This window comes from Homo sapiens, chromosome 3 (assembly GCF_000001405.40).
Source record: "Homo sapiens chromosome 3, GRCh38.p14 Primary Assembly".
NCBI lineage: Eukaryota > Metazoa > Chordata > Mammalia > Primates > Hominidae > Homo > Homo sapiens.
The window spans coordinates 33,195,204-33,221,926 of NC_000003.12; the positions used below are offsets into that span (position 1 = coordinate 33,195,204).

General features: G+C 41.9%; 1 protein-coding gene across 2 annotated transcripts in view; it reads right to left on the minus strand.

Annotated features, from left to right (window-relative positions):
• Nucleotides 1-23,607, minus strand: part of SUSD5 (sushi domain containing 5) — a 68,768-nt gene extending 45,161 nt beyond the window's left edge. For both annotated transcript variants that reach the window (XM_005265034.4, NM_015551.2), the window contains exons 1-3: nucleotides 23,483-23,607; nucleotides 18,725-18,902; nucleotides 12,605-12,723 (exon numbers count right to left, since the gene is read on the minus strand). In XM_005265034.4, the coding sequence (XP_005265091.1) occupies nucleotides 12,605-12,723; nucleotides 18,725-18,902; nucleotides 23,483-23,594 (409 nt within the window). In that variant the 5' untranslated portion in view covers nucleotides 23,595-23,607. The remainder of the gene's footprint in view (nucleotides 1-12,604; nucleotides 12,724-18,724; nucleotides 18,903-23,482) is intronic.
• Between the last annotated feature and the right edge of the window lie 3,116 nt (nucleotides 23,608-26,723).

Here is a 26,723-nt window from a genome sequence, read left to right on the forward strand (position 1 = left end):
AAACGAAACAATAAATAATCACTTTCTAAACAGTTGCAAGTGGTTTTATTTGTTCTGAGTCCTTAAAATAATTCCCTCGTTTTTGAAATGCGAACTCTTTTCGCTTGTCCTATAATTCTTCTCTGCTTACTTAGTCCCCAATTAATCAGTGATGTGCTGATAAATATTAAATTAACAACCAGCTCTCTTGGGAAGGGGAGAAACTGCTGGGGGATGGAGGTGGGAATGGCTGTTGTGCAGGTAATTGACAAGGTCTGAGGCAGTGCACAATAGACAAGGTCTTAATGCAATTTCTGGCTCACAGTTCTAGATAAATTGAAACTACAAAAAGAGCCTGAAGTAGTTGAAGATAAGTAAAGAGATATATGCATGAAGATGTTCAATCATGGTATTTATTATAGTGAAATCCATGGAATTACCAAAACGTCTAATAACAGGAGAATGTTTAATTTATAGTACATTCATATAATGGATTATTATAGCCATTCTTTGAAGCATATTCAATGTCATGGGGAGATATAGATCTATAGCCATATAAATGAAAAAAAAAAAAACAGAATGCAATCTTATATGTTGTTCATATAATCCCAATTTAGTAAACTAAATAAAACATGTAGAGAACACAAAAGACTCATGCTAAAATACTTGTATTAGGGAAGACTGATTATGAGAGACCTTAATTTTCTTTATACTTTCCACTAAAATGACCACATATTCATATTTATAATAGAAAATCTATTCTAATTGTAAAAATGGAGCTAATGACATTTATCTCTTAGGATTGTTACTAGAATTAAACGAACATATGCCTTTCCCAGTGCCTACCACATTCCTGAAACTTAACAAGGTCCTGAATAAAAACCAGCTCCATTTCCCATATAAATGGTTGGAGACTGATGGTCTTTTGAATGGCCCTGAATGGATCTTCAAGTCATGATGGTAACTGAATACCCATTGTCCTTAAACCAAATAAAGCCAACCACACCATGGCTAAATTGGAATTGAATGCCACCTTGGGCCATGAAAAGGGGAAAAACAAAATGCTCATAAAAAGATAAAACCAGATATGAGCCTGTATTTGCCCACTACTGACATAGCAATAATGGTCAGTGATGGAGGCTTGGTTCAAGGTGAGAAGAAGCTAGCAGAGCTGGGAACACAGAGGATTACTGATGGATTCTTGGGGTTGGGCTATGGTCCATGAATGCAGCAAATAATCAGTTTAATTTGCAGTGGTGATTTGCTGGAAGGTTCCCCTTTCCCTGACACACACAAAGGTTCCCCTTGCCCTAACACAGACAACAGCTGCGTCTCTGGATCTGTCAGGATATCTTTGTTTTAACAAAAAAGAACTTCTGTAGAGAGCAGGGGAAAGCACAGATCCACATGTAACTACTCTACCATTCTCACACTCTCTACTTTTGGTAAGCAGGGCTCCCTGGGAAAGTTTTCTTCTAAGTCAATAGGGTAGGCTGACCGTATAGTTTATCATCCATATAAGGACACTTTTGAAAATGATTGGGATCCTGGTTAATAATTACCAGCACAAGAAAGAACTATCCTGAGCAAACTGGAAGGCAGGGCACCCTAACATGAGTATCGTACATTCCAACCCAAACGGCAGTGCCTGTGAAGGTAAGATATTCAAGAGTAAGAAGAAAGGAGCATCTCAGAAAACAAAAAGCCTGTAGAGTCTGGGTTTGAGTCCTTGCTCCCCTACTTACTTTGGACAAATTACTTAACTTTGTTGTGCCTAGTTACTCATCTGTAAAATTTGGATAATAGTAAATTCCTGCAGTGCTGTTGTGAGGATTAAATGAGTGAACACAGGGTACTACAGCAGGTGTTAGCTATTACTATTTTCCTTCTGAGGTTGAGAATCTGAAGCAAAGCCCACAGTTAGAGCTGCAGCCTCAGGGTCAAAAAAAGTGGTGGAGATGTTTGCACCAGGTTTAACTGGATCTTGGGGCTTGCTGCATAGGACTGGGAGGGGTGGGGACAGGAAAAGGAAGGTGCATGGGTGAGAGGTCTCATCTGCACCTCCCAGGAGCTGTGTCACTTGAGACAAAGCACCAAATCTCTCTGTTCTTCAGTTTCCTCATCTGAATAGAGAGAATGATAACACCCTGCCTACAGTATTGCCTTGCTGATTAAATGAGATAACGTTTGTGGGAACACTCGGGAAAAACACAATTTTGGAGTTATAGAATATAACTGTAAAGCTGCTCGATAATTTTTTTCTTGTTCTTTTTTGTGTTTTAAAGTATTATTTATATAAATAAAATTCATCAATTTTAAGTGTACAGCTTAGTCAATTTTGCTAAATGTATCCAATTGTATAACCACCACCACCACCACAACAATCAAGGTATAGAACAATTCTTAAAAGCCATATTCTACTTGCCTTTGGCCCTAGACACCCTCCCCTACTCCATACTACCCCAAGCAACTATTAAGCTACTTTCGCTCACTGGTAGTTTTACCTTTTCTAGAATTTCATTCAAATGGAGTAATACAGTATGTATATTTTGTGTTTGACTTTTTTTCATTTAGCTTAATATATAGAGATTCATCCATGCTTTTGCATGTATTAATATTTCATTCATTTTATTGCCAAATACTAATCCATGGTATGGATATACCACATATTTTGATCCATTCATCAGTTGATGAACATCTGTGTCGCTTCCAGTTTTGGGCTTTTATGATAAAATTGCTATGAATATTTGTGTACCCATTTTTGTGTGGTCATACACTTCTCTTGGATCAATACCCAGGCATGGAATTACTTGGTTGTACGCATATTAGCTGTATATATAATACATGTATATATATGCATATTAAACTTTGCAGAATTATTTTGAAAGAAATTATGCGTTGATTTATTGAAAACAGTGTAACATCAAGGTGAAGAAACCATACTATTATTATCACTTTATGTTGTTAGAGTTATGTGGTGCTAGATACTAATCATAGTCATAGCTCATACTTATTGAGGTGTTACTCTGTGCTATGCACTAGGCTAAGTGGTTCACTTGTATTACCCTACTCAGTCCTCTTGACAAATCTATGTCATGGGTTCTAATATTATTCCCAAGGCAAGTTAGGTGGTAGAACCAAGATTCAAACCCAGGGATTCTGGGTACAGAGCCCATGGTTCTAATCATTGTGCATTATTATTGTGTTCCAGGTGTTGTTTCCTTTGAGAACACCATGGTTTAGCTCTGATTCACTTTCTTGTCATAAACATGGGGCCTGGTGGACTTTGCAAAAAGGACAAGTTTGGGGCTTCCTGATCTACTGGACTGCACCACTAGCAGCCAGAACAATTTTCAGAAAATGTTCAAAAAGTGCATCCTAGCTGAGAACCCTACAATGGTTTCCTGTTTCACCTAAAAATTCAATCCAATATTCTCACCCCTGTATATCCAGCTCTTATCCCAATCTGTTCAGCCCTATCTTGGATCACTCCCTCTCACCTGAAACCATCTAGGCTCACTGTTTTCTCAAACACACCAAGCTCTTTCCTGCCCGCAGTCTGACATGGCTATGCAGTCTGGTCTCATCTCCCAGACCCATAACACCAGGGCCAGAGGACTGGAAAATCCACAAGAGATGTGGTACACTGCAGAGGAAAGCTTTTACTTGGGGGAAAGAGAGTTAGGAAGAATCACCCATATTTCACCCACCCCGGGACACTGAAGTCAGCAGACATGGGCTACAGGAATGTGAACATGGTGCACCCAAAATATTGAAGAAGGCCCAGTTCTAAGCACAGACCCTGGCCTCAAGAATACCCACGTAAAAGATAAAAGATAGGCTGAGAAAAGACATATAGAAGGGAGATATTTTAAAGCTACATAAGAAATGCAATAATGCATGCGCACTACTAAAAAAATCAAAATATACAAAATACAGAGCATGAACTATAAATATCTCCCTTCAGTCTCACTGCTACTCCCTTTCTAGGGTGTTTCTCCTTCAGATGTCTTTTTTTCTAGGGGAGAATTTCACACACACACACACACACACACACACACACACGTTTACACATATACACAAAAATAAGTTGTTTTTTCTTTTTTTTTGAGACGGAGTCTCGCTCTGTTGCCCAGGCTGGAGTGCAGTGGCACAATCTCGGCTCACTGCAGGCTCCGCCTCCCGGGTTCACACCATTCTCCTGCCTCAGCCTCCTGAGTAGCTGGGACTACAGGCACCCGCCACCACGCCCGGCTAACTTTTTGTATTTTTAACAGAGACAGGGTTTCACCGTGTTAGCCAGGACGGTCTCGATCTCCTGACCTCGTGATCCGCCCGCCTCGGCCTCCCAAAGTGCTGGGATTACAGGCGTGAGCCACCACGCCCAACCAAAAAAAGTTTTTTAAAGAATAAATTGGATTATACTATACATATTCTGAGACCTGCATAATATGTCTTAGAAGATTTTTCATGTCATAGCTGTCACTCTGCTATAGACTGAATGTCTGTGTCCTCCCAAAATTCATACGTTGAAACCTAATCCCCAGTGTGATGCTATTTGGAAGTGGGACTTTTGGGAGGCGATTAGGCCATGCTATGGTTCAAATGTTTGACTCCTCCAAACTTCATGTTGAAATTTCATTGCCATTGTAACAGTATTAAGAGGTGGACCTTTAATAGGTGATTAGGCCAGGAGGGCTCCACTTTCATAGGTGGAACTGGTACCATTATAAAAGGGTGAGTTCGGTTCCTCTCACTTTCTGCCATGTAAAGAAGGCTCTTGCTAGATGCTGGCACCTTGATATTGGACTCATCAACCTCCAGAACTTTGAGCCAATAAGTTTCTGTTTATTATAAATCACCTAGTCTCAGGCATTCTGTTATAGCCATACAAGACAGAGCAAGACAGATCATGAGGGTAGAAACTTCATTGAATGGGACTAGTGCCCTTATGAAAGAGACCTCACAGAACTGCCTCACCCCGTCTACCATGTGAAGACTCCACAAGAAGACAGTTATCTGTGAATTGGGAACTGGGTCCTCACAGACACCGAACCTGCCAGTGCCTTATCTTGGACTTCCCAGCCTCCAGAACTGTGAGACATACATTTCTGTCATTTGTAGCTACCCCATTTATGTTATTTTTAAATAGCAGCCTAAGCAGAAATTGGTAACAAGAAGTGGGGGGTTTGCTGTAACAAATACCTAAAAATATGGATTCAGCTTTGGAATTAACAGGTAGAAGCTAGAAAAGTTTTGAGGTGCTAGAATGTTTTAGGTGCTTCCTCTGCAGTGCACCACATCTCTTGTGGATTTTCCAGTCCTCCAGCCTTAGTGTTTTGGGTCTAGGAGATGAGACCAGGCTGGGTAGCCATGTCAAGCATGCTAGAAAAAGACTACCTTGCCACGAATGGACCATCGAGGGCAATTCTGGTGAGGGCCCAGAAGGAAACGAGAGCTGTAGAGAAAGTCTTCATCTTCTCATACAATACCTAAACAACTCTGGACAGAATGTTGGTAGGAACATGGACAATAAAGGCCATTTTGATGAGGTCTCAGATGGAAATGAAGAACATGTTGGTGAACATCAGCAGAAAAGCAATGCTTGTTATAAAATGGCAAAGAACTTGGCTGAATTGTGTTTGTGTCCTAGGGTCTTATGGAAGGCAGAACTTGCAAGCCATGAAATTTAATATTTGGTTGAGGAAATCTCTAACCAAAGTTTGAAGGACTGGCCTGGCTCCTTTATTGTTGCTTACAGTAAAATTTGAGAAGAAATAAATGATTTAAAGATGGAATTGTTAAGCAAAAAGGAACCAGAACTAAAAAATTTGGAAAATTCTCAGCTTATCATTATTGAAAACAATGAGAAACCCTGTTTTGGAAAGAACAGCATAAAGGCCCTTTCTAAAAAGGCAAATAACAGACTGCTACTAAGTGACTCTTGCAGGTCCAGAGGCTGCTGTGGAATAGCATGTAGGCAGATATCTCCAAGTCCATGCTCAGAGGTCATGTGGACCCTCACTGGATCAGCAGAGGCTTAAGAATAAAGTTGTCCCTGAGTGCACCCAGCCCTAGGCACACATGTATATGTCTGCAAGGCAGGGCTTTGAACTCCTCCTCACATTTACCACATGCCAGAAAACCAAACCACAAGTCCCTGACCACACGGACAGGTCCAGAGTGCAGCCGCAGCTCTTCTGAGTAGCACAGAAGTGGAGAAGTCTGTCTGGGTTGTTGGTGCTCATGGCCCCAGGCCACAAAGACATCCCAGAGATATCTGCCTCTGGGGCCAAAAGACCCATTGGCAACATTTCTCTGGCTGCCCAGACACTTGGCATTCGTGGAAGCTGGCTGCTGGTGTATCAGGACTGGTCTAGCCCACATTTTTGGAGCAGAAGACCTCAGGTCTGAGAAAACAAGACCTGATGCCCACCTAGGCCTGGGTGTGTGGGTGGCAGGTGAGGGGGCATCACTGCTTACTGTGATGGGGATTATTTGGGCTACCCTCTGCAGCCATCTCAGGCCTACCCAACAGCTACTCAAGCCCCCAAGCATGTGCTGACCCAGCCCACTCTCCCAGAGCTCTAGTACAACGGCACAACCACAGCTATTCTCCCAAAGCCATTGGTATCTTTAGATTCCTAGCCCTTGCTACCCCTGTTCTTCCTGTCCGCCATGTCCTATCCTCTCTTCCCCACCTATTATCCCCTCAACTTATCCATCTCAAATGCCACTGCTTAGGAAGTCTCTCTAATAACCTTTCTCCTTTGTGTCATGGAAAAATATTCATCTCTTACCTATCGTGATACACCGTTAACTCCTTGAGAGAGGGGAGAAGTTATCTATCTATCTATCTATCTATCTATCTATCTATCTGTCTATCTATCTATCTATCATCTATCTATCATCTATCTGAAGCACCCACAAGTCTGAGCATTGGACTTTGCCTGACCCTGGACAAATAAATGAACACATAAATGACTGACAGCAGGTCCATGGTAATGAGCTCAGAGGCTTTCACACTTCCCTGGGAGACCCTGAACTAAGTGTTCTCCATCAGCTGTACCAACCAATGCAATTAATTGGTTCCAATCTGGTATCACAGCTGGAAAATTTCCCCAAAGTTATTCCTGAGACACCAGGCCTTCTCCAGGCAGCCCTGGAAATTAGCTACTCTCAAAAATTCCTGATCACTCACCAAGACAGGGGAGCATCCAGCTCTCTTTTTGATGACATGAAGGAAGGGAATAATTTCACTCCTGTTTTTAAGGGCAATAGAGGCAATCATAAAGTATGCAAGGGAGGAGGAATGCAGTACTAAGAAGGTGAAGTGGGCTGGGGAGAGGGAAGCAAGGCCAGACCTGTCTTAGATGGGGAGAAACAGAAGCACACACTGAGTGAAGCCTTTCAGGGCAACAGAGGGTCAGAGGAAAATCAAAGCCTCCAGACCCCAAGCTGCAGACCCCACAGACAAGCTGCCAAGAGAAGCAAAGCCAGAAGACCCAAGTGGAGGCAGCTTATTTCATCAGAATCCAGTTGGTTAAAAATAACTTCACTTATTAGTTTAAGTGAGATCACCACAGGGCTGGAAATTCACTGTCAGTGAAACAAAAATACTGAAAGGAAAATGAGAAAAGTCTACATTCACGATGAACTTTATAAAGAAACACAGGAGGAAGCTGCCTGAACATTCCACAGGCTATGTTTTCCTTCTGGGCTCTTTATGAGGCACAGGTCTGCCATTTTTGGAATTAGCACTCTTCATTCTTCCAGTCTTGCCAAAGAGAAGCAGCTTAGCACCATGCAGCATCACTGGGAAAAAGGCAAGCTTTGGAGGAATACTGCACGGAAGCATCTGTTGAGCTGGACCTCACCTACACTCACGCGGGAACCTCACAGCACAGCCTGTTCTCCTCTGCTTCTGCCAAGGCGCTGCACCTTCCTTAAGCAAACAGATTTCCCTTGTTGACTGTGCTGTCAACAAAGACTCTACTGAGGAAAAGCAGCAACTCTGCTGAGAAGGGCGGAGGGCCTTGCAGGAGCCATTTACATGCTCTTTCTAAAGGAGAAAAGGCAGAGGGACAGGGATAGAACTCTCTCTGAGTAACTGTGGGAATCCATCCTGCTTTTCTGTTAAGCCCCAGGAGAACAGTCCTGGAGCCCTCATGCCATCTCTGCATGCATTCCTGCATCCTCTTCATGGCTCACCTGAAGCTTCCTCACCAATTAGGCCCTGCAGGGCCAAGGCTCCTGTCTTCCCTGTAGCCTTTGCCCTGTGCAGCTCTTGCCCAGGCTAGGCTGGGGTGAGCTGCTCTGGGACGCAGGGCCCTCGAGCACTGTAACAGTGATGAACCACATATAATGCCTGCTCTTTTCAAATGGCATCCAGTCTTCACACACATGCCAACAGGTGTCACGGGAGCCTTGGCATATGCCTCATCTAAAGCATGCAGTTCTACTCAGCTCACGCATGGGCATGAGCTCAGGGAGCCCAAAAGCTGAGACGACCTAGATACTCTGCCTCTGGAACACATCCGGACAGTTTGCTGCTGAGCTTTCTGGAGGCATGCCCTCGTTGTGCCCGGGTCTCCACACCCTCCAATTCCAATTGGCTCCCTCCAACAGGCGCTCCCATGATTCAGTGTTATTTTGTTTCTTAGGTTTATTTCTGTCTGCTGCTGTTGTTGTTTTTGCTGTTTTTGGAGAAGTATGTAGACCATTTGTTGTTGCTGTTGTTGTTTGAGAGAGACATAGGGACCCACTCTGTTGCTCAGGCTGGAGTGCAGTGGCATGATCATAGCTCACTGCAGCCTCAAACTCCTGAATTCTAGAGATTCTCTCACCTCAGCCTCCAGAGTAGCTGGGAATACAGGGTGCGCCACCATGCCTGGCTAATTTTTTTTATTTTTTGAAGAGATGGTTTTTAGGGACAAAGGGGCATCATATCTACAAGTTACTCTCCAATGGTTCAAAAAAGAATTATAGATACACATATATACATATTTACATATGTATATATATGTATCTTGCTATGTTGCCCAGGCTGGTCTCAAACTTCTGGGCTCAAGTTATCCTCCAAAGTGTTGGGACTACAGGCATAAGCCACCATGCCCAGCCTGAGCTTTTTTGTTTGTTTGTTTGTTTGTTTGTTTTTTGAGACAGTCTTGTTCTGTCACCCAGGGTGGAGTGCAGTGGTGCGATCTCGGCTCACTGCAAGCTCCGCCTCCCAAGTTAACACCATTCTCCTGCCTCAGCCTCCCGAGCAGCTGGGACGACAGGTGCCCACTACCACACCCGGCTAATTTTTTTGTATTTTTAGTAGAGACAGGGTTTCACCATGTTAGCCAGGATGGTCTCGATCTCCTGACCTCGTGATACACCCACCTCGGCCTCCCAAAGTGCTGGGATTACAGGCTTGAGCCACCACACCCGGCCTGTTTTATTTTGTTTTGTTTTGTTTTGTTTTGTTTTGTTTTGTTTTTGAGACAGTCTTGCTCTGTCGCCCAGGATGGAGTGCAGTGATGTGATCTTGGCTCACTGCAACCTCTACCTCCCAGGTTAAAGCGATTCTCATGCCTCAGCCTCCTGAGTGGCTAGGATTACAGGCATGCACCACTACATCTGGCTACAGCCTGAGCTTTTTGAGATTTTAAAATTTTATATAATTTCAAAGTTACATAAACATTATAAAAGCAAGGAACCCACCTTTTATGCAGGTTCACCAATGTGTTTTCATTTTCCCCTTTTTGCTTTATCATTCTCTTCTCTCTCTTCCTCTCTCCACACCTCTTCCTCTCTCCACACCACACACACACACGTGTGTGTGTATACATATATATATGAATATGTATATATGTGTATCTATAATTCTTTTTTGAACCATTGGAGAGTAAGTTGTACATATGACGTCCCTTTGTCCCTAAAAACCTTGGTGTGCATTTCTAAAAACAAGGATATTCTCTTACATAACTGCAGTAGTTATCCAAATCAGAAAATTTAAACGTTGATACAATACTATTATTTAATTCATAATCTGTATTCAAATTTCATCAATTATAGCTATTTTTTCCTAGTTCAGGATACAATCCAGGATCACGAATTGTATTTCATTGACAAGTCTTTTTGGTCTTTCTTAATCTAGAACAGTTGCTTAGCCTTTTTTATTCTTGACATTTTTTTAAAAAGAGTAGGATGTTCTTCAATTTGAGTTTGGTTAATTTTTCCTTGTGATTAGATTCAGTTACACATTTTTGGAAGGAATATGCATAAAAATGAATCACTGAATCAATGTGTTCCTCTGAGTGCAATGTATCATACATATTGAGTTGCCCATGACTCAAATCTGGAGTCACTATCATGACATTGACTTTGGTGTCCTATAGGACATTAATGGATGTTCTCAACCTTTGGCTCCATGCATTACAGTTGTGGGCAAAAGAGGCACACACTTGCATACACATAACTTGCTCGATGGTCTGTGAGGTGGAAAGCCCAGGCTGGCCTGTTGGATGAGGAGAAACACATGGCTCAGTTGCCCTTGTCACCCAAGCCAACGGCCAGCCAACTCCTAGAAGCAAGGGTACCTAGCTAACAGCAGCTGACCACAGACTTATGAATAAGTCCCACCAAGTCTGGCAGAAAAGCAACCAAATTGGTGGTTTGCAAAATTGTAAGCTAAATAAACAGTTGCTGTTTTAAGCCACTACATTTTGGGGTGATATGTTAGCTAGCAAAAGCTAACTGATATATCTTGTTTATTGGAGAAAGAAGTAAGACTCAGAAGCCCTACATTATTTCTTTGATACTACTGACGAAAAAAGGTTGTCCTGTTTTTCTTCTGGCTCTGTCCTGTCTCCCTCAGGGATATGACCCTCTGTTTATGTTTAGAATTTAAAAGATTATTTAAATTTACTAATATGGGCCAGGTGCAGTAATCCCAGCATGTTGGGAAGCCGAGGCAGGTGGATCACCTGAGGTTAGGAGTTCAAGACCAGCCTGGCCAATATGGTGAAACCACGTCTCTATTAAAAATACAAAAATTAGCCGGGCATGGTGGCGGGCGCCTGTAATCCTAGCTACTCAGGAGGCTGAGGCAGGAGAATCGCATGAACCCAGAAGGTGGAGGCTGCAGTGAGCCGAGATCACACCACTGCACTCCAGCCTGGGCGACAAGAGTAAGACTCCATCTCAAAATAAATAAATAAATAAAAATAAAAAATTTACTTGAGTGTGTGTGTGTGTGTGTGTGTGTGTGTGTGTGTGTGTGTATGTGTTTTAAGAAAAAAAATAAACCACAGATACTGCTCTCCCTGGATTTTTTGAAAACCAAGTCACATCTCTCAGTTGCTTGACTGGATCAATGATGGCAGGAGACTCTCCCAACATCCTTCCATAGAAAGCAGCAGATGCAGAGCCCTTCCTAGAGAGGGACCCCAGAGCAGAAGGCTCTTAGGGTTCACCATGACTCTTACTTTTACCAACTCCTCTGATCCCTTTCCTGGAGATAAGGATTTGGTGCCTCTGGGATGCAGCCAGACGGTTTGTACTTTCAACAAGTTCTTCTGGTATTTCACATCATCAGGGGAGTTTGGGAAACACTGCATTACAGAAAGGGTTCTCAACCTGGGCTGTACATTAAAATCACAAGGGAGTTTTAAAAAACCCAGAACATTTAAATCAGAATCTTTAGCGCTGGCACTGAGGCATCAGTATTTTTTAATTACTCCCCCCACCCCTCCCCAATGAGTCCAGTGTGCAGCCAAGAAGAACCTGTGCTCGTTTCTATGACTGATTAGTAAGAAGCTTGCTTCTCCCTCCCCATTCACATGAATATTCCTTTTACAACCGTATGTGTTTCTGATAACAGAGGTGTACTTATTTGGTGCATACAAAATGCTGCCCTTGAGGCTTCTTTATGATTTTCTCCTCACCACTCAGCTGATTTCCCAATAGGAATTTGGATTTTCCTTACTGTGAGCAGTTCCCTAAATCTTATAAATTTCCTTTTTGGGAAAAATATTATTTTCTTTTTAGTGTACTGTCCAATATGAAGAGAGACTGGAGGGCAAGCTTTGAACATCAGCAGCTGTATCAGATGCTGCCAGGGCTCTGCCCACATTCTCTAGACACCTTTACCATTCCCATGCACACGGACTCCTGGTAGGCACCTTTGCCTCTTTGTTGGAAGGTGGACTCAGGCTACTGGAACCTTTTGCCTGTGCACACACGAAAAAACAGAAGAACCTGGGAATTTATATCTCCTGAAGCAACCCTTCACACATGACTGACAGGTGTGGTATAACTACTCCAGCTCCCTCACCCCAATCAGAAAAACTGTGGTTACATACATACACTATCTCCAGGGGTTTCCTGAGTGATTGAGCCAAAGTTACTCGGCACCTCACCACCACTGTGAATTTCACTTAATATTGCACCGATGCTTGACCCCCTTCCTCATCTTGTCCACTTCCCCACCGCACTATTGGCTTTTCTTTGGAAGACTTCCTGATAAACCATGTCTAGTAAATCCTCACTTCAAGGTTTTCTTCTAGAGAAACCAACCTCATATAGCAATCCCCAAGAGCACACCCTCCAGCACCTTTAAGAAGACTCTGGCACTGACCTTCATCCTTAATACAAAGGGCACTGTATGTGCCACCAGGAACTGGGTTGCTCTCAATTCTCACATCGACAGCTCTCATGATTTGCTGTTCTCCACTTCCTTTGCTACACACAGTTGTTCTGAAATAGACAAAAAAGGCACTGAATGAGGAAAACTCTGGGTTGAAAATAATAAGGAATAATTCTCTTCTGCTGTCAGCTCCGAATCAGCAGAGATTTTTCTGATTCATGAGCTCTGTCTGAAAGCATAAATCTGGACACATTCTCTGCAAAAAAAAGGTCTAAATTCAGAAATACAGGTGATGCTTCAGTTGATGTTATAGGTATCAATTCGAGTTTCAAAGGCAATATATTGTTGATCTCTTCTAGATTATGTTGGTTTTTATTTCATAAAATTCTGCTATTTTCTTTTTCTCTTATTTTGCTGTTCTTCAAATTTCTTTAGCTCTTTAGTTCATGAAACTTCAACTTTTTTCCTTTTCTAACAAACATTTAATGTTTTAGATTTCCTTCTAGGTATAGCTTTGGCAGCACCCCATGAGTTTGGGTATGTACATTTTTAATTAGTTCTAAATATATGATAATTTCCATTATAATTTTTTTCCCATAATTTATTTAAGGATATCTTTTCTAAACAGCAAATACTTGAATTTTTAAAAGTTCATCTCACAATCTCTGTTTTCTAATTGGAGCCTCCTGTCTACTAATACTTAATTTAATCATCAATCTAATTTAAATCTGCTTTTTATTAGTTCTGCCCATTCTCTCTTCCTTTCCTCTTCTTTCTTTTTTCCCACTTTGGGTTATCTGAATTATTCTTCTTCTTTTTTGGGGCAGTATTCTCTTTTTTCTCTGTATTGATTTGGAAGTTAAATATCCTTTCTCTATTTTCTTCAGTGGTACCCAGAAGTTACAACTTCTTTGACTTATTGAAATGTATTATTACTTTTATCATCTTCCCTAATAATACAACTTGAAATACTTAAAACACTACATATGAATACACTTAAAATACTTCCCACTTATATAAATCATTTTTTAGTATCCAGTGTTACTGTTACTGCTTCAATTACATAATTTCAATTGGTCCACATATTTACTCCTTCCATTTATTCTTTTTTGCCTCTCCAGTCTTCTTCATGCAATATTTTCCTCCTGCCTGAAGAGCACTTGTTAGTGTTTAAGTGCAGACTGGATGTAATGAATTCTCTCACCTTTTGTCTGTCTGAAAACGTCTTTATTTCACCTTTATTATTGGGAGATATTTTTCACTGAGGATAAAATTCTAGGTTAGCAGTAATTTTCTTTCAGTACCTTCAAAATATCAAAAGTCTTTGGGCTTTCATTGTCAGTTTATTGTTGCTCCTTTAAAGACAATCTCAGCATTTTTAATTTATAAAAATATTCTTTTCTTCATATATGATTCTTACCAGTCTTACCATGATGTGCCTAGCTGTGAATTTCTTTGTATTTGTCTTACTTGAGCTTTGCAGGGATTCTTGAATCTGTGTCTGGATGTTTTTCTTCAATTGTGGATCATTTTCATATTACTTTTATTCTATTTTCTTTTATCTTTCTCTTCTCCTTTTAGAATTCAAATCATATTACATCTTCTTTGTCTTTTACCCTTTGTTGTATAATTTTTCATCCTTTTTCCCTCTGTTATTTATTCTGGATATCTTCCTCTGAAATATTTTCCAGTTCACTAATCCTCTCTTTGGCTCTTTTTTTTAAAAGTCTTTCTCTCCTTTCCTTTCCTTTTCTTTCTTTCTTTCCTTCATTCCTTCCTTCCTTCCTCTTTCTCTCTTCCTTCCTTCCTTTTCTTTTCTTTCTCTCTCTTCTTTCTTTCTTTTCTTTTTTTTTCTTTTCTTTTCTTTCTTTTTGCAACAAGGTCTCACTATGATGTCTAGACTGTATTTAAACTTTGAACTCCTTGGCTCAAGTGATCCTCCTGCCTCAGCCTCCCAAGTAGCTGGGACTATAGGCATGCACCACCATGCCCAGCCCTCTTTGGCTCTTTTTAATCAGCTATTAGGTCTATCCATTAAGTTCTTAATTTTAGTTACTGAATTTTTCATGTCTAGAGTTTCCATTTGGTTATTTTTACAGTTTCCACACTCTGCCAAAATTCTCCTTCTCATCTTTTATATCTTTGAACATGTCAAGGATAGTTATTTTAAAGTCTGCATCTACCAATCCTAATGTCTGGAGTTTCTATTACCTATTGTTTCTTCTGAATTTTATTCTACTTGCCTTGTCTCCTCATGCAACTAGTTATTTTATATTGTGTGACAAATCCTACATTGGCTAAATTGTTTGTTGAAATTAATTGAGGTCTAGGATACTATCTTCCTCAAAACATAATTTTTATTTGATTCTCCTAGACATCTGGAGCACTGGAAATTCAGGGTCATCTCAATCCGAATTCATGGCTATAGAGTATTTGAAGATGTGCTGCTTCTCCTAGGAGGGCCTGCGAACAGTTCACTGTACAGTGTACTGTGTCCAGCTTACCCTTAGGGCATAGCCCTGCAAGGTCCCAACCCAAAGCAAAACGGCTCACTGGGTCCCCTCCTACACAGAAGGTGAATTCAAATCTCCAACCTCCTAGTCCCATGTGGCTATTAAAACTGCTATTCAGCTTTTTAGCCACACTTTATGGAATCTGCAAAGGTTTCCAGGAGACAAGTGGCCCAAAAGTCTGAATTCATCATTCTAGGCCTTTATCATTCTCTGGATTTATGTGTACACTCAACATAAATTCATAGAGATATAGGGCAGATGTGCTAGATGTCTACTATGCCATCAATTACAAGATGCACCACACATTTAATCATTGCTTTTCAGTGTGTGGTGAGGGAGTGGAGACCTGGGCAGGAAAGGCCCACAGTGAAATGTACATACTAATGGTCAGATGCTTGTTTCTAGAAAAATAAAATGAAAGGACATTGAATAGGAATGGTGAAAAGAGAATAATATGTTTTAAAAAATAAATTAAAAAGGGATAGAAAAACTATTTTAATACATTGTATAGTAAATATAACAAGTATATTTTCTTTATTTTCTTTCTTTCATTATTTATTTTGAGACAGAGTCTAGCTCTGTTGCTCATGCTGGAGTGCAATGGTGCCATCTTGGCTCACTGCAACCTCTGTCTCCCTGGTTCAAGCGATTCTCCTGCCTCAGCCTCCTGAGTAGCTGGGACTACAGGCACACACCACCATGCCCAGCTAAGTTTTGTATTTTTTTATTTATTTTTATTTTTTTAGTAGAGACTGGGTTTCGCCATATTGGCCAGGCTGGTCTTGAACTCCCGACCACAACTAATCTGCCCGCCGTGGCCTCCCAAAATGCTAGGATTACAGGCATGAGCCACTGCACCCAGCTGTATGTTTTCTTTGTAAGGTAATATCATTTCAGCCTGCAGAGATCCACTAATATGTCTTAATACCTTATAGTAAACCTACAGAAGATGGACCTTTCTAATCATCCAGTCCTGGCATACAATGCTTGAGAGACCTAAGCCTAGTTGCAAGCGGTCTCTTCAGAATCTGTGAATACTCTGGTTATCTGATGAAATTTTATAGTAACAGGATTATGAAAAAATATTCCTACTTGACTACATTATGGAAATGCATGCACAGGGCATATTTTGTCTATTCAAGAGCATAGATATAAAATGTAAGGCAGAGAGGACCACAGTTCCAGATTCACCAAAAGGCTTTGGATGTAGCCTCAGTTGTCCCTTTATTCAGTTGCTGCTTCATACTTGGCACATTTGGAGACATGAGTCAGCATGGCTATGTTTTCTATGGCCACTCGCCAGCCAGACATCTTAGGATCATCATCTACCAAAGTAGTTCTTGGTGCCTTGTTTGCTTTCACATTTCCTGTGGCATGAAGGAAAAAGTGAAGTGGCTCCTGCCTTCTCTGAGCATGACTAAAGAAGTGTTTATTTCTGCTTTTGTTGCCTGTGTTTTTGAGATCTTATTAAAATATTTTCCCAGACCAATATCCTGAAGCATTCTTCCTATGTTTTCTTCTAGTAGTTTTATAGTTTTGGGTCTTACATTTAGTTCTATAATCTACTTTGAGTTGATTTTTATATGAGGTGAGAGGTGGGGGTCTAGTTTTATTCTTCTGCATACAGATATCCAGTTTTCCCAGCACCATTTATTGAAGATACTGTCCTTTCCCCAGTGAGTGTTCTAAGTTCTAGTGTTCTATACCACTGTAGGATGGCCATAGTTAACAATAACATATCATTTCAAATAGCTAGGAGGATATTGAATGTTCCCAGCAAAAAATAAATGATAAATATTTGAGATGACAGATATGCCAATTACCCTGATCTGATCACTCTCAATTATGTGTGTCAAAACATCACTACGCACCCCATGAATATGTACAATTATTATTTGTCAATTTAAAAAATAAAATTAGGCCAGGCATGGTGGCTCACACCTGTAAACCCAGCACTTTGGGAGGTGGAAGCCAGAGGACTGCCTGAGTCCAGGAGTTTGAGACCAGCCTGAGCAATAAGGCAAGACTTTGTTTCTACAAAAAAAACTAATAAATTAATAAAAATTTAAAACAAAGCAGGTTTCAGCACTATTAGAAAGATTTCTCCTAGCTGGCCATAACAATTACTTCTCTAAAGGATTCCACGGGTCAGGCACTCAAATAGCCACAGCAGGAATGGCTAGTCTTGCGTATAATGTCTAGGGGCTGAGCTGGCAAGACTCATAGGCTGGCAATAACTCAATGGCTGGGGGCTAGAATCACCTAGAGGCATCTTCATTCACATTTTTGGCAGTTAATGCTAGCCACTGGCTAGGACATTGGTTAGGGCTGTTGGCAAGAGCCCCTAAAGGAGATACCTCCATGTGGTCTGGCATTCCTCACAGCACACCCATCTCAGCACAGTCAGACTCCTCATGGCATCTCAAGGCTACAAAAGTGAGTGTCCCCAGAAATCTAGACAGATGCGGCATGGATTTTTCCAACCTAACTTCAGAAGTCACGTAATCTCACTTTTGCTGTATTCTATCAGTAGAGGCAAACACACCTATTGATGGCAGTGGTGTGAAAAAATTTGTGGCCATATTTTAAAACCTCCATACCACGTTCCTATACATATACATGCAGATGAGTATCCACAGAAAAAAGGGATAAAGAATGTATACCAAACAATTAATAGTCATTATCTCTGAGGTGGAGAAGAAGAGAGAAACTTAACTTTGTACTTTATATATATATGCATTATTTGAAATTTTTACAATAAGCATGTATTCTTTTTATTACTTAAAAAAAATTCAAGGCTAGGCAGGGTGGCTCACGCTTGTAATCCCAGCACTCTGGGAAGCCAAAGCAGGAGGATTGCTTGAGGTCAGAGTTCGAGACCAGCCTGGGCAACATAGCAAGCATTTTTTACCTCTATAAAAAAAAAATTAGCCAGGTGTTGTGGCACATGCCTATAGTCTTAGCTATAGGAGGCTGAGGCAGGAGAAACATTAGAGCCCAGGATGTTGAGGCTGCAGTGAGCTATAATTGTGCCACAGCACTCCAGCCTGGTGGACAGAGTGAGACCCTATGTCTAAAACAAAAAAAGAAAATTCAACATAACAAAGTAAGGGGATAAAAGAACTATGACAGAACTCCAGAAAAATGCTTTTGTAAGTAAACTCAAACATGAACACACACCAGGCGTGGTGGCTTACACTCTGGGAGGCCGAGGCAGGTAGATCACCTGAGGTAAGGAGTTCGAGATCAGCCTGGCCAATATGGTGAAACCCCATCTCTACTAAAAATACAAAAATTAGCTGGGCATGGTGGCACATGCCTGTAATCCCAGCTACTCGGGAGGCTGAGGCAGGAGAATTGCTTGAACCTGGGAGGTGGAGGTTGCAGTGAGCCTAGATTGCACCACTGCACTCCAACCTGGGCAACAGAGCTAGACTCCATCTCAAACAAAACAAAACAAAACAAAACAAAACATGAACACGCTACTGCCCACTGTACTCTGCCTGTATGGTACCTCAACAGAACAATTACTGAGTCCTATATAAGCCTTGGTGGTGCAACTGGGGTGAGTTGGAAAAGGAGTGCTCGCCTAACTTACCCAAGAGTACCATCTGCTAGCCAGCCAGTGGTGCACACCGCAAAGGAGCAATCCTGTACCACTCTCCGCAGCTCGTCTGCAGATGCCAGGTGAGCGCCCCTGCTCTTGCAGGAAAGCCGAGCAGCCTCCAGTTGTAGGCCCTGAGAGCCATTCTGAGACTCCAGCACAAAGAACTTTCCTGTGTGGGAACAAGAACAAACACATGTGGATTTCAGGATCCATGGGAAGTTAGTCTCAGCAAACATCCTCTGGCAGACGCCAGTTAGAACTGTAGTCCTTGCCTGAAGGCCCAAGTGCAGCAACTACCACATCCACATCCCTGGGACCAGGTGATGATAATTACACTAGCATTTTCGTCTTTTTTTTTTCTCTTATCTTCTTCTTCTTCCCCACCCCACCCGCCCAAAATTAACCATCTGCTCTGGCATGTCGATCTGGAAAAGCCCTTCAAATCTTTCTTTTAAAACGGTGTTTTACAAATATCATGTGTCAAGGCTCAGTGTCCTAGGCTTCCCTGAGTTAGGTCACTTGATGACTAAGGCACTGATTTAGGCCTCAGCTCTGCTTTCTTCTGCCTCCCTCAGCCCTAGGATGACCCCCTATACAACAGGTTGCTTCCCTTCTCTCTGTCCCTTGCCTTAAGATATTACCAGGCCCCTTTCACAATAAATTCATTTGTGTCTGCTGTACTTCTGTCCTACTGCACAAGAAAACAGGGATGATGTCTGGTACACCTTGGCTTCCTATAGCACATTAATATATGGACATGTAGTGGGCCTCAAAGAATGTGTGATTAATGGGGGGATGGGAACCTGAATTCAAGCAGAGGTGAAAGCCCAGGCTGAAGGCAAATGAGAATTTTAAGCAAGGAAACCACGGTACCGGAGGGAGCACTGAGGTCCCCAGGAGCCTCCTGGAGGAATGAAGCAATGCCTTGGGTGGCCCTATCAAGTTAAGCTAAAGGCAGGGGAGAAAACACCTACTTAGAATGAGACACTTTACTTCCATCTGTCACCAACTTTTTCATAATATATCAGTGATTGGACTAAGACACAACTAAGACACAAGTCATCTGCTTGCAAAAGACTAAGACACAAGTCATCTACTTGCAAAATTATTATAATAAATATAATAATTCCACAGCTTTGGAACCAAAAGTTATAATAAAAATACAAAAAAAAATTTTAAATAAACACTTCCATAGGTGACTGGCACTCCTACATTTAACTACAAAAAGGTAGTATTAACAAAACTACAAGGAAAAACAAAAAAATCCACAATCCTTGAGGAAATTTTAAACTACTATCCCTCTCAGTAATTGTTAAAACAGAAAACAAAATTAGCACTCTTGATGTAAGAACCTATGTGCACTACTGCATACCAAACTACAGAATACACATTCATTTTAGGCACACACAGAACATTTGTAAAACTGATCAAATACTGAGCTATAAAGCAAATCTAAAAAAACCTCAAAAGACAAAAATCATACAAAGCATGCCTTTTAGACTACAACAAAGCTAAAATCACTTATTTTATATATGAAACACTTATATAGTGTTTACTATGGACTAGATGTTGTTCAAATTGCTTTACAAATACTCATTAAATTAATTCTTATGACAACTCTATGATATAGGTGGTATTATCATCCTCATTTTATAGTTAAGGTTTAGTATTAATGCTTGTCCGAGATCACACAGCAGAGATACAGAACCAGGCAGTATGGCTCCGTTAGTGATTTTAATCACTTGGTTATACTGCCTCTCAATAACAAAGCAATAACTAGGAAAATCCCCTTGTGCATGGAAATTACAAAATATACTTCTAAATAAACTGTGTTCAAAGAAGAAATCCCAACTGAAATAAAACATGTCAACTCAAGGGCCAAAAACTTATGGAGAAACTAAAGTAGTTTAAGAGAAATTTATAGCCTCAGATCTCACATTATTAATACCAAAAAAGTATGGTTGAGAATCAATGATCTAAGTTTCTAGCTCAAAAAACAAACACAAAAGTCCCACAAAATCAAATCTTCTAACGTAGAAGGAGGAAATAATACAGATAGAGCAGAAATCAGTAAAACGGAAAGCAGACACACAATCAAGAAAATAAAGCCAAAAGTTGCTTTTTTCAAATGAATAATAAAACGGATAAACCCCTACTAAGACTGATCAAGACAAAAAAAGAGAAAACACAAAGTACCAATATCAAGAATGAAAGGGAACATCACTACAGATCCCGTGGACCCTGAAATGATAATTAGAGATTATTACATTGTATATGCCACATTAGACAATCTAAATGAAGTGGGGGAAAAACTTTAAAAAATAAAACTTAGCAACATTGACACAAAATTAATTTTAAAATCTGAATACTTCTTTATCTACCAAACAAATTAAATTCATTATTTAAAATCTTCCTACAAGAAAACCTTCAGACACAGATGATCTCACACCAAAACAAACAAACAAAAGCCCTCACCCGCAGAAACCCTTTCAGAGTTAAAGAAGGAGCAACTTTACAATTTGGTTTAGGAACCATCATACGTTTGATATCAACACTTGGCAAAGATATTATAAAAAATGAAAATTACAGGCTAATATGTTTCATAAACATAGATTCAATAATCCCAAACCAGCTTCCCTCACTCCAGGCTCAGTTCTAGGTCTTCTTGCTGTAAAATTTTTCCTTAGGATTCTGCCCACGCACATGATTTCAAAGACCATCCTTATACAGATGACACGTTTTTAGAAATAGTTTCTCTCCAAATCTATCTCTTCAAACATCTGTAATTCATCATACTTAAGCTGAGCATTTCTTCTTCTTCCTCCCGTCACCATAGCACACAAATAACTAAATGTAGGAACTGGTGGCAGCTAAGAATTTAGTACCAAAAAGAATCCTTTGATAATATAGCTTATAACTCTTCCTGGTTCTAGTATAAAAGTTGGAGCTCATAAAATTGAGTTTACTATAAGGAAGTATACCTATAATTGTCCACTGAGGAAGTGGGGAAAGAAAAGGAAGGAGAATGAAGAAAAGGAATCATTTCTGGCAAGCAGTAACAAAGAATCATGTGCTCTGGTGTTGTCCTTACTTTCTCTTTGACCAGTGACATTTCTGCCTTTAATTTTCTATGACCCGTATCAAGCTAGACAGGCACAAAATATTGATCCTTATCCACATGGCATTCCACTTAAACAGTTATAATGGGATGAAACTCTAAAACCTTATGGATTGCAAAAATATTTATTTAAAAGGAATTAAAGTTGGCACAATATATCTTGTTCAAAGATTAATATTAGCTCCAATTTATTCTACTTGCATTCTTTAAAATCAGCTTAATTTTCATGGCTCAATGTCAGTCAAAAAACACTACAGTGAAGAATTATCAGTAAACTGCTAATAGGTATGGGATTCTTTTGAGGAGTGATGGAAATGTTCTGGAATTAGATGCATGCAAACCATGGTTTTCACAACCTAATGAATATACTAAAACCCACTTAACTGTATATTTTAAAATGACAAATTTTATGTGAAATACATGTCAATTAAAAAAATTAGCAGTGGTTACTAACAGCCTTCAAAGTTAAAAATGTTTTGTCTCTAACACTCTCTCTGAGGATATGGAGAAATACGACATTCATCCTTAATTAGGAACGGAGAGCTTTTCAAGCCTGCACTTAAAACAGAGAGCACTAAAAACTCTACGACCTAGACGGTTTTTTCCTTGGCTTTCCCCTTTTCCTGACAACCATGCTTTTTTTTTTTTTCCCCATGTCTTCTAGTTTCACTCAATATCGTTGGCTAAACAAGAATCACATTTTAAAATATACAACGCATCCTAAATTGACGGAGGGCTTTTCTCTTTTATCAGTCTAATTCGTCCTAAGCTAGAACTACCTCATGGGTGTGAGAACTGCTGGCTTTAAGCTTGCTTCCTTCAGATGCTCCTGTACCAAGTCAGCGGGATTTTGTTCTAATATGAAAACACAGCTGAATTAGCTTTTCAAAAGGGAATGGATACAGAGCTCCAATCCTGCTCATTTTAGGGCAAGTATTACAAGCTAAATTCAGGCTGAAAAACCAAGCAAACGAACAAGAAGTGGATCAATTCTCAGAGAACCTGCCATAATCTGGCCCTTGCCCACTTCTCTACCTCATGTCTCAAGACGTCCCCTCGCCTCCAGGTACTTTGCTTTATCATTTGTCCCGTTTTTCCTGTCACTCAGAGACAGCCTTTGCACGTGCTTTTCCCTCTGGCCAGGCCATTCTCTCTCTCTTAGCCTCGCTGATTCCCACTCATCTTTCACGTCTTCCCGGACCAAGCCAAAATATCCGAGGGAGTTTTCTAACCATCGGCGGTGTCCTCAGGGGCACATTAATAGACGTTGAGAAACTGAGGGACGGCGGAAAATCACCCCTTAGCAGAGGAGGTTCTAGGGCACCTTAGAGGTGATTTCATTCGAGCTTTCTTGGAGACCTTAGGAAAGCCAGCGGCGGGACTGCGGGACCTACGCGCTCGGCGCTAAGGGAGGGTCCAGGCACCAGGCGGGCGTTTGGGCGCACGGGCACGCGGAGACTTGGTGGGCCAGGAGAGGGATGCTGGGTCGCAGGACCGCGGCTCGTTCGTTCCTCTCAGGCTTGCGCTTGCCGCTTGCCGGGCCGGTCAGAGGGAGCAGCCCCGGCGAGCTACGCCCTCCCTGCCCGGACCCCACGCTCCACCCCCCGCCCCGCCGCCTCCCGCACACTCACCATCCGCCCGCACCGAAAGGCGCGGCAGACCGAGCAGGAGCAGCGCCGCCGCCCAGAGCCCGGGGAGGCGTCTGTGCCAACGGGCAGGCGGGCTGGGTCCCTCGGCAGTCATGGTCCGGGAGTGCGCGGGCCAGCGGACTCGGGTGAGGGCTCTGGCTGCGTTTGGGGTTGCCCAGGCCACTGCCCAGCGTGCGCCACTCGGCTCTGCGCTCTGCGCTCGGCTCACGAATCGCAGGCTTCGCGCCGGGCGCGCCGAGAGGGAGGAGCGCGGAGAGCCGGGGGAGGCTCGGGACGCAGAGCCGGAGCGCCTGGGCCGCCGAACTCCCGGGGGTCTTCTCTGTGGCGCCGAGGAGGCGGCTGTAACCCGGCTCCGCCTTCGCGCTGGGCACCTGGAAACCTCGGTGCCAAAAGGGGCTGCGCTGGGCCGCGCGCTCTGCGGGTACAGCGGGGCGGAGGGCGAGGGCGCAGGGAGGCGGGGAGAGTAGCTAGCCGGCCGCAAGGAGCCCCCGCCCGTCTGGGGGACCCTTGGCGAGAGGGTGACGCAGTCTGACAGGCGGAGCCCCTCCGGCAGGGCCGTTAGACAACGAGTGTCTAACTCTGTCCTCGGCCTCTACTTTTCAACTGGCCTCCTCCCCCTCCCCACCAACACTCTTTTTTTTTTTTTTTTTTAATGAAGAGAGGAAAATCTAAGTTACCTACCACCCTCACTCTAAGGTGTGAAACGCATGGAATAGCGAAATTCCTCTTTCCTAAAAGCGAAGTTTGAGAGTCACTGAGGAAAGGATATCTTCAGGAACGCTTCCTTCACCACTTTTCCTGGTACGCTAGTATTTCTCAAGGAGCAGTAAGAGGGCTAGTGAGATTGTCACCATTATCACCCACCTCCCAAATCAGGGCTTTTTGACCTCGAAAGGGTCTGAGATTCGGACTCTGTCGGTCTGGTCTGGGAATCTACACTCTAAGTTAAAGTGTCCCAATGGATTCTGCTGCAGGGGTCCCTGTTTGACTTGATTCCTTCTTCCTGCTCGCCCCTAGCCTGTCTCCCTACCACCAGCCCTGTTCAGTGAAAGAAGAACTTGCTTTCTTCATAGGTAGAGTAATAAAGATCAGTATTGTTATAACTGAGGCATGCGCGGTGCTCTACAATTTGCAAATCCCTTTTATATTGATGTATGGGTCAACAAACATCTATTGAGTGCCCATACATGCCTGTCCCTGTGCTAGACCCTGAATGTGGCTGCAATCGGTCCTAAAAATGTTCACACTTAAATAAAATATACTTACAATTGAAAAAGTGATTGGTGCTAAAGGGGCAGATGATTATCCTCATTTAATGAACCAGGACACAGACATTGAAATAATTTACTTTCTTTTCACAGTAAGAACTTGGATTTGAATCCACATCTGATTTACTACAGGTGTCATTTTTCAGCTTGCATTAATTGTTGAAATGTACTGAAAAGATTTCTTCTCTCCTTATTACTTCCCATCAACTACAAGGGCTACTATTAATGAGTAATTATTTTGGATAATTAAACTTTGCTTTCAAAATACAAATACTGGCCGGACACGGTTGCCCAGGCCTGTAATCCAAGCACTTTGGGAGGCGGAGGCCGACCAATCACCTGAGATCAGGAGTTGGAGACCAGCCTGGCCAACATGGTGAAATTTCCATCTTTACAAAAATACAAAAATTAGCCGGGCGTGGTAGCTGTTAATGCAGTGAGGTGTTAAATGCAGTGAGGCCTGACAAGTATAAATGAATTTACTTAGCTCCTTCCCTTTTTTTTTTTTTTTTTTTTTTTTTTGAGATAGAGTCTCGCTCTGTTGCCAGGCTGGAGTACCGTGGAGCGATCTTGACTCACTGTAACCTCAGCCTCCCAGGTTCAAGCGATTCTCCTGCCTCAGCCTCCCGAGTAGTTGGGACTACAGGCGTGCACCACCACGCCCAGCTAATTTTTGTATTTTTAGTAGAGACGGGGTTTCACCATGTTGGCCAGATGGTCTCGATCTCTTAACCTCGTGATCCGCCGGCCTCGGCCTCCCAAAGTGCTGGGATTACAGGCATGAGCCACCACACCCGGCCAGCTCCTTCCCTTTTAACAGTTAGCTGGTAACCTAAGGAGTGAGACTTCACATGTCTGGACTGGAGGGGTCATTTTAAAGCCTGGTTAGTGCTGAGAACGGAGGGGAGGGATCAGAAGGTACCTGCCAAGAGCTACCAACTCACTCACTCAGGAGCTTTGCCTAGGAACATTTTAAAAACAGTCAATTGAATATTACTACTTAATTCTCCTAACATTTTCAAGATTATGCTTATTCACAATTGTCTTGGCCTGTCCTGATGTGAGGAGATGGCATGCTGTAAGGGTAATTGGTATGGTTGCTTTAGAAAACCGGCTGTTCCATCTAAACATATACCTGCCTTAGGACCCAGAAATTCCTCTCCTAGGATTATATCCAAAAGAATGAGAACCTATATTCACAAAAATATTTGTGCACAACTGTTCATAGCAGCTTTATTTGCAATGATCAAAAACTAGAAGGAATTCGGATATCATCAACAGATGAATAGAAAAACAAACTGTCATATTCACACAATAGAATACTATTCGACAACAGGAATGAACTACTGAATGAACTACTCAACACGTGAAAGAATCTCAAGGATAGCATACAGAGTGAAAGAAGTCTTACACAAAACAATTCATACTGTGTAATTCCATTTATATGAAGTTCAAGACAGGACAAAACTAATCTGTGGTGAAAACAGTCAACACAGTGGTTGCCTTTGATAGAACGGGAACACAAGGGAACATCTGAAGTGATGAAAATGTTCTATTCCTGATGGGGATGGTGGTCACATGAGTGTATATGTTTGTCAAACATCCCTAAACTGTACACTTGAAATCTTTGTATTTAATTGAATACTTATACTTCAGTAACAAATACTTTAAAAATCAGAATTTCAGTCCTTGCACTAAAAAATAAAGAAGGTTTAATAGAAGGCCAAGTGCGGTGGCTCACGCCTCTAATCCCAGCACTTTGGGAAGTGGGTGGATCACGAGGTCAGGAGATTGAGACCATCTTGGCTAACACAGTGAAACCCCATCTCTACTAAAAATACAAAAAATTAGCCAGGCGTGGTGGCACGTGCCTGTAGTCGCAGTTACTTGGGAGGCTGAGGCAGGAGAATTGCTTGACCTTCGGAGGCGGACATTGCAGTGAGCCAAGATTGTGC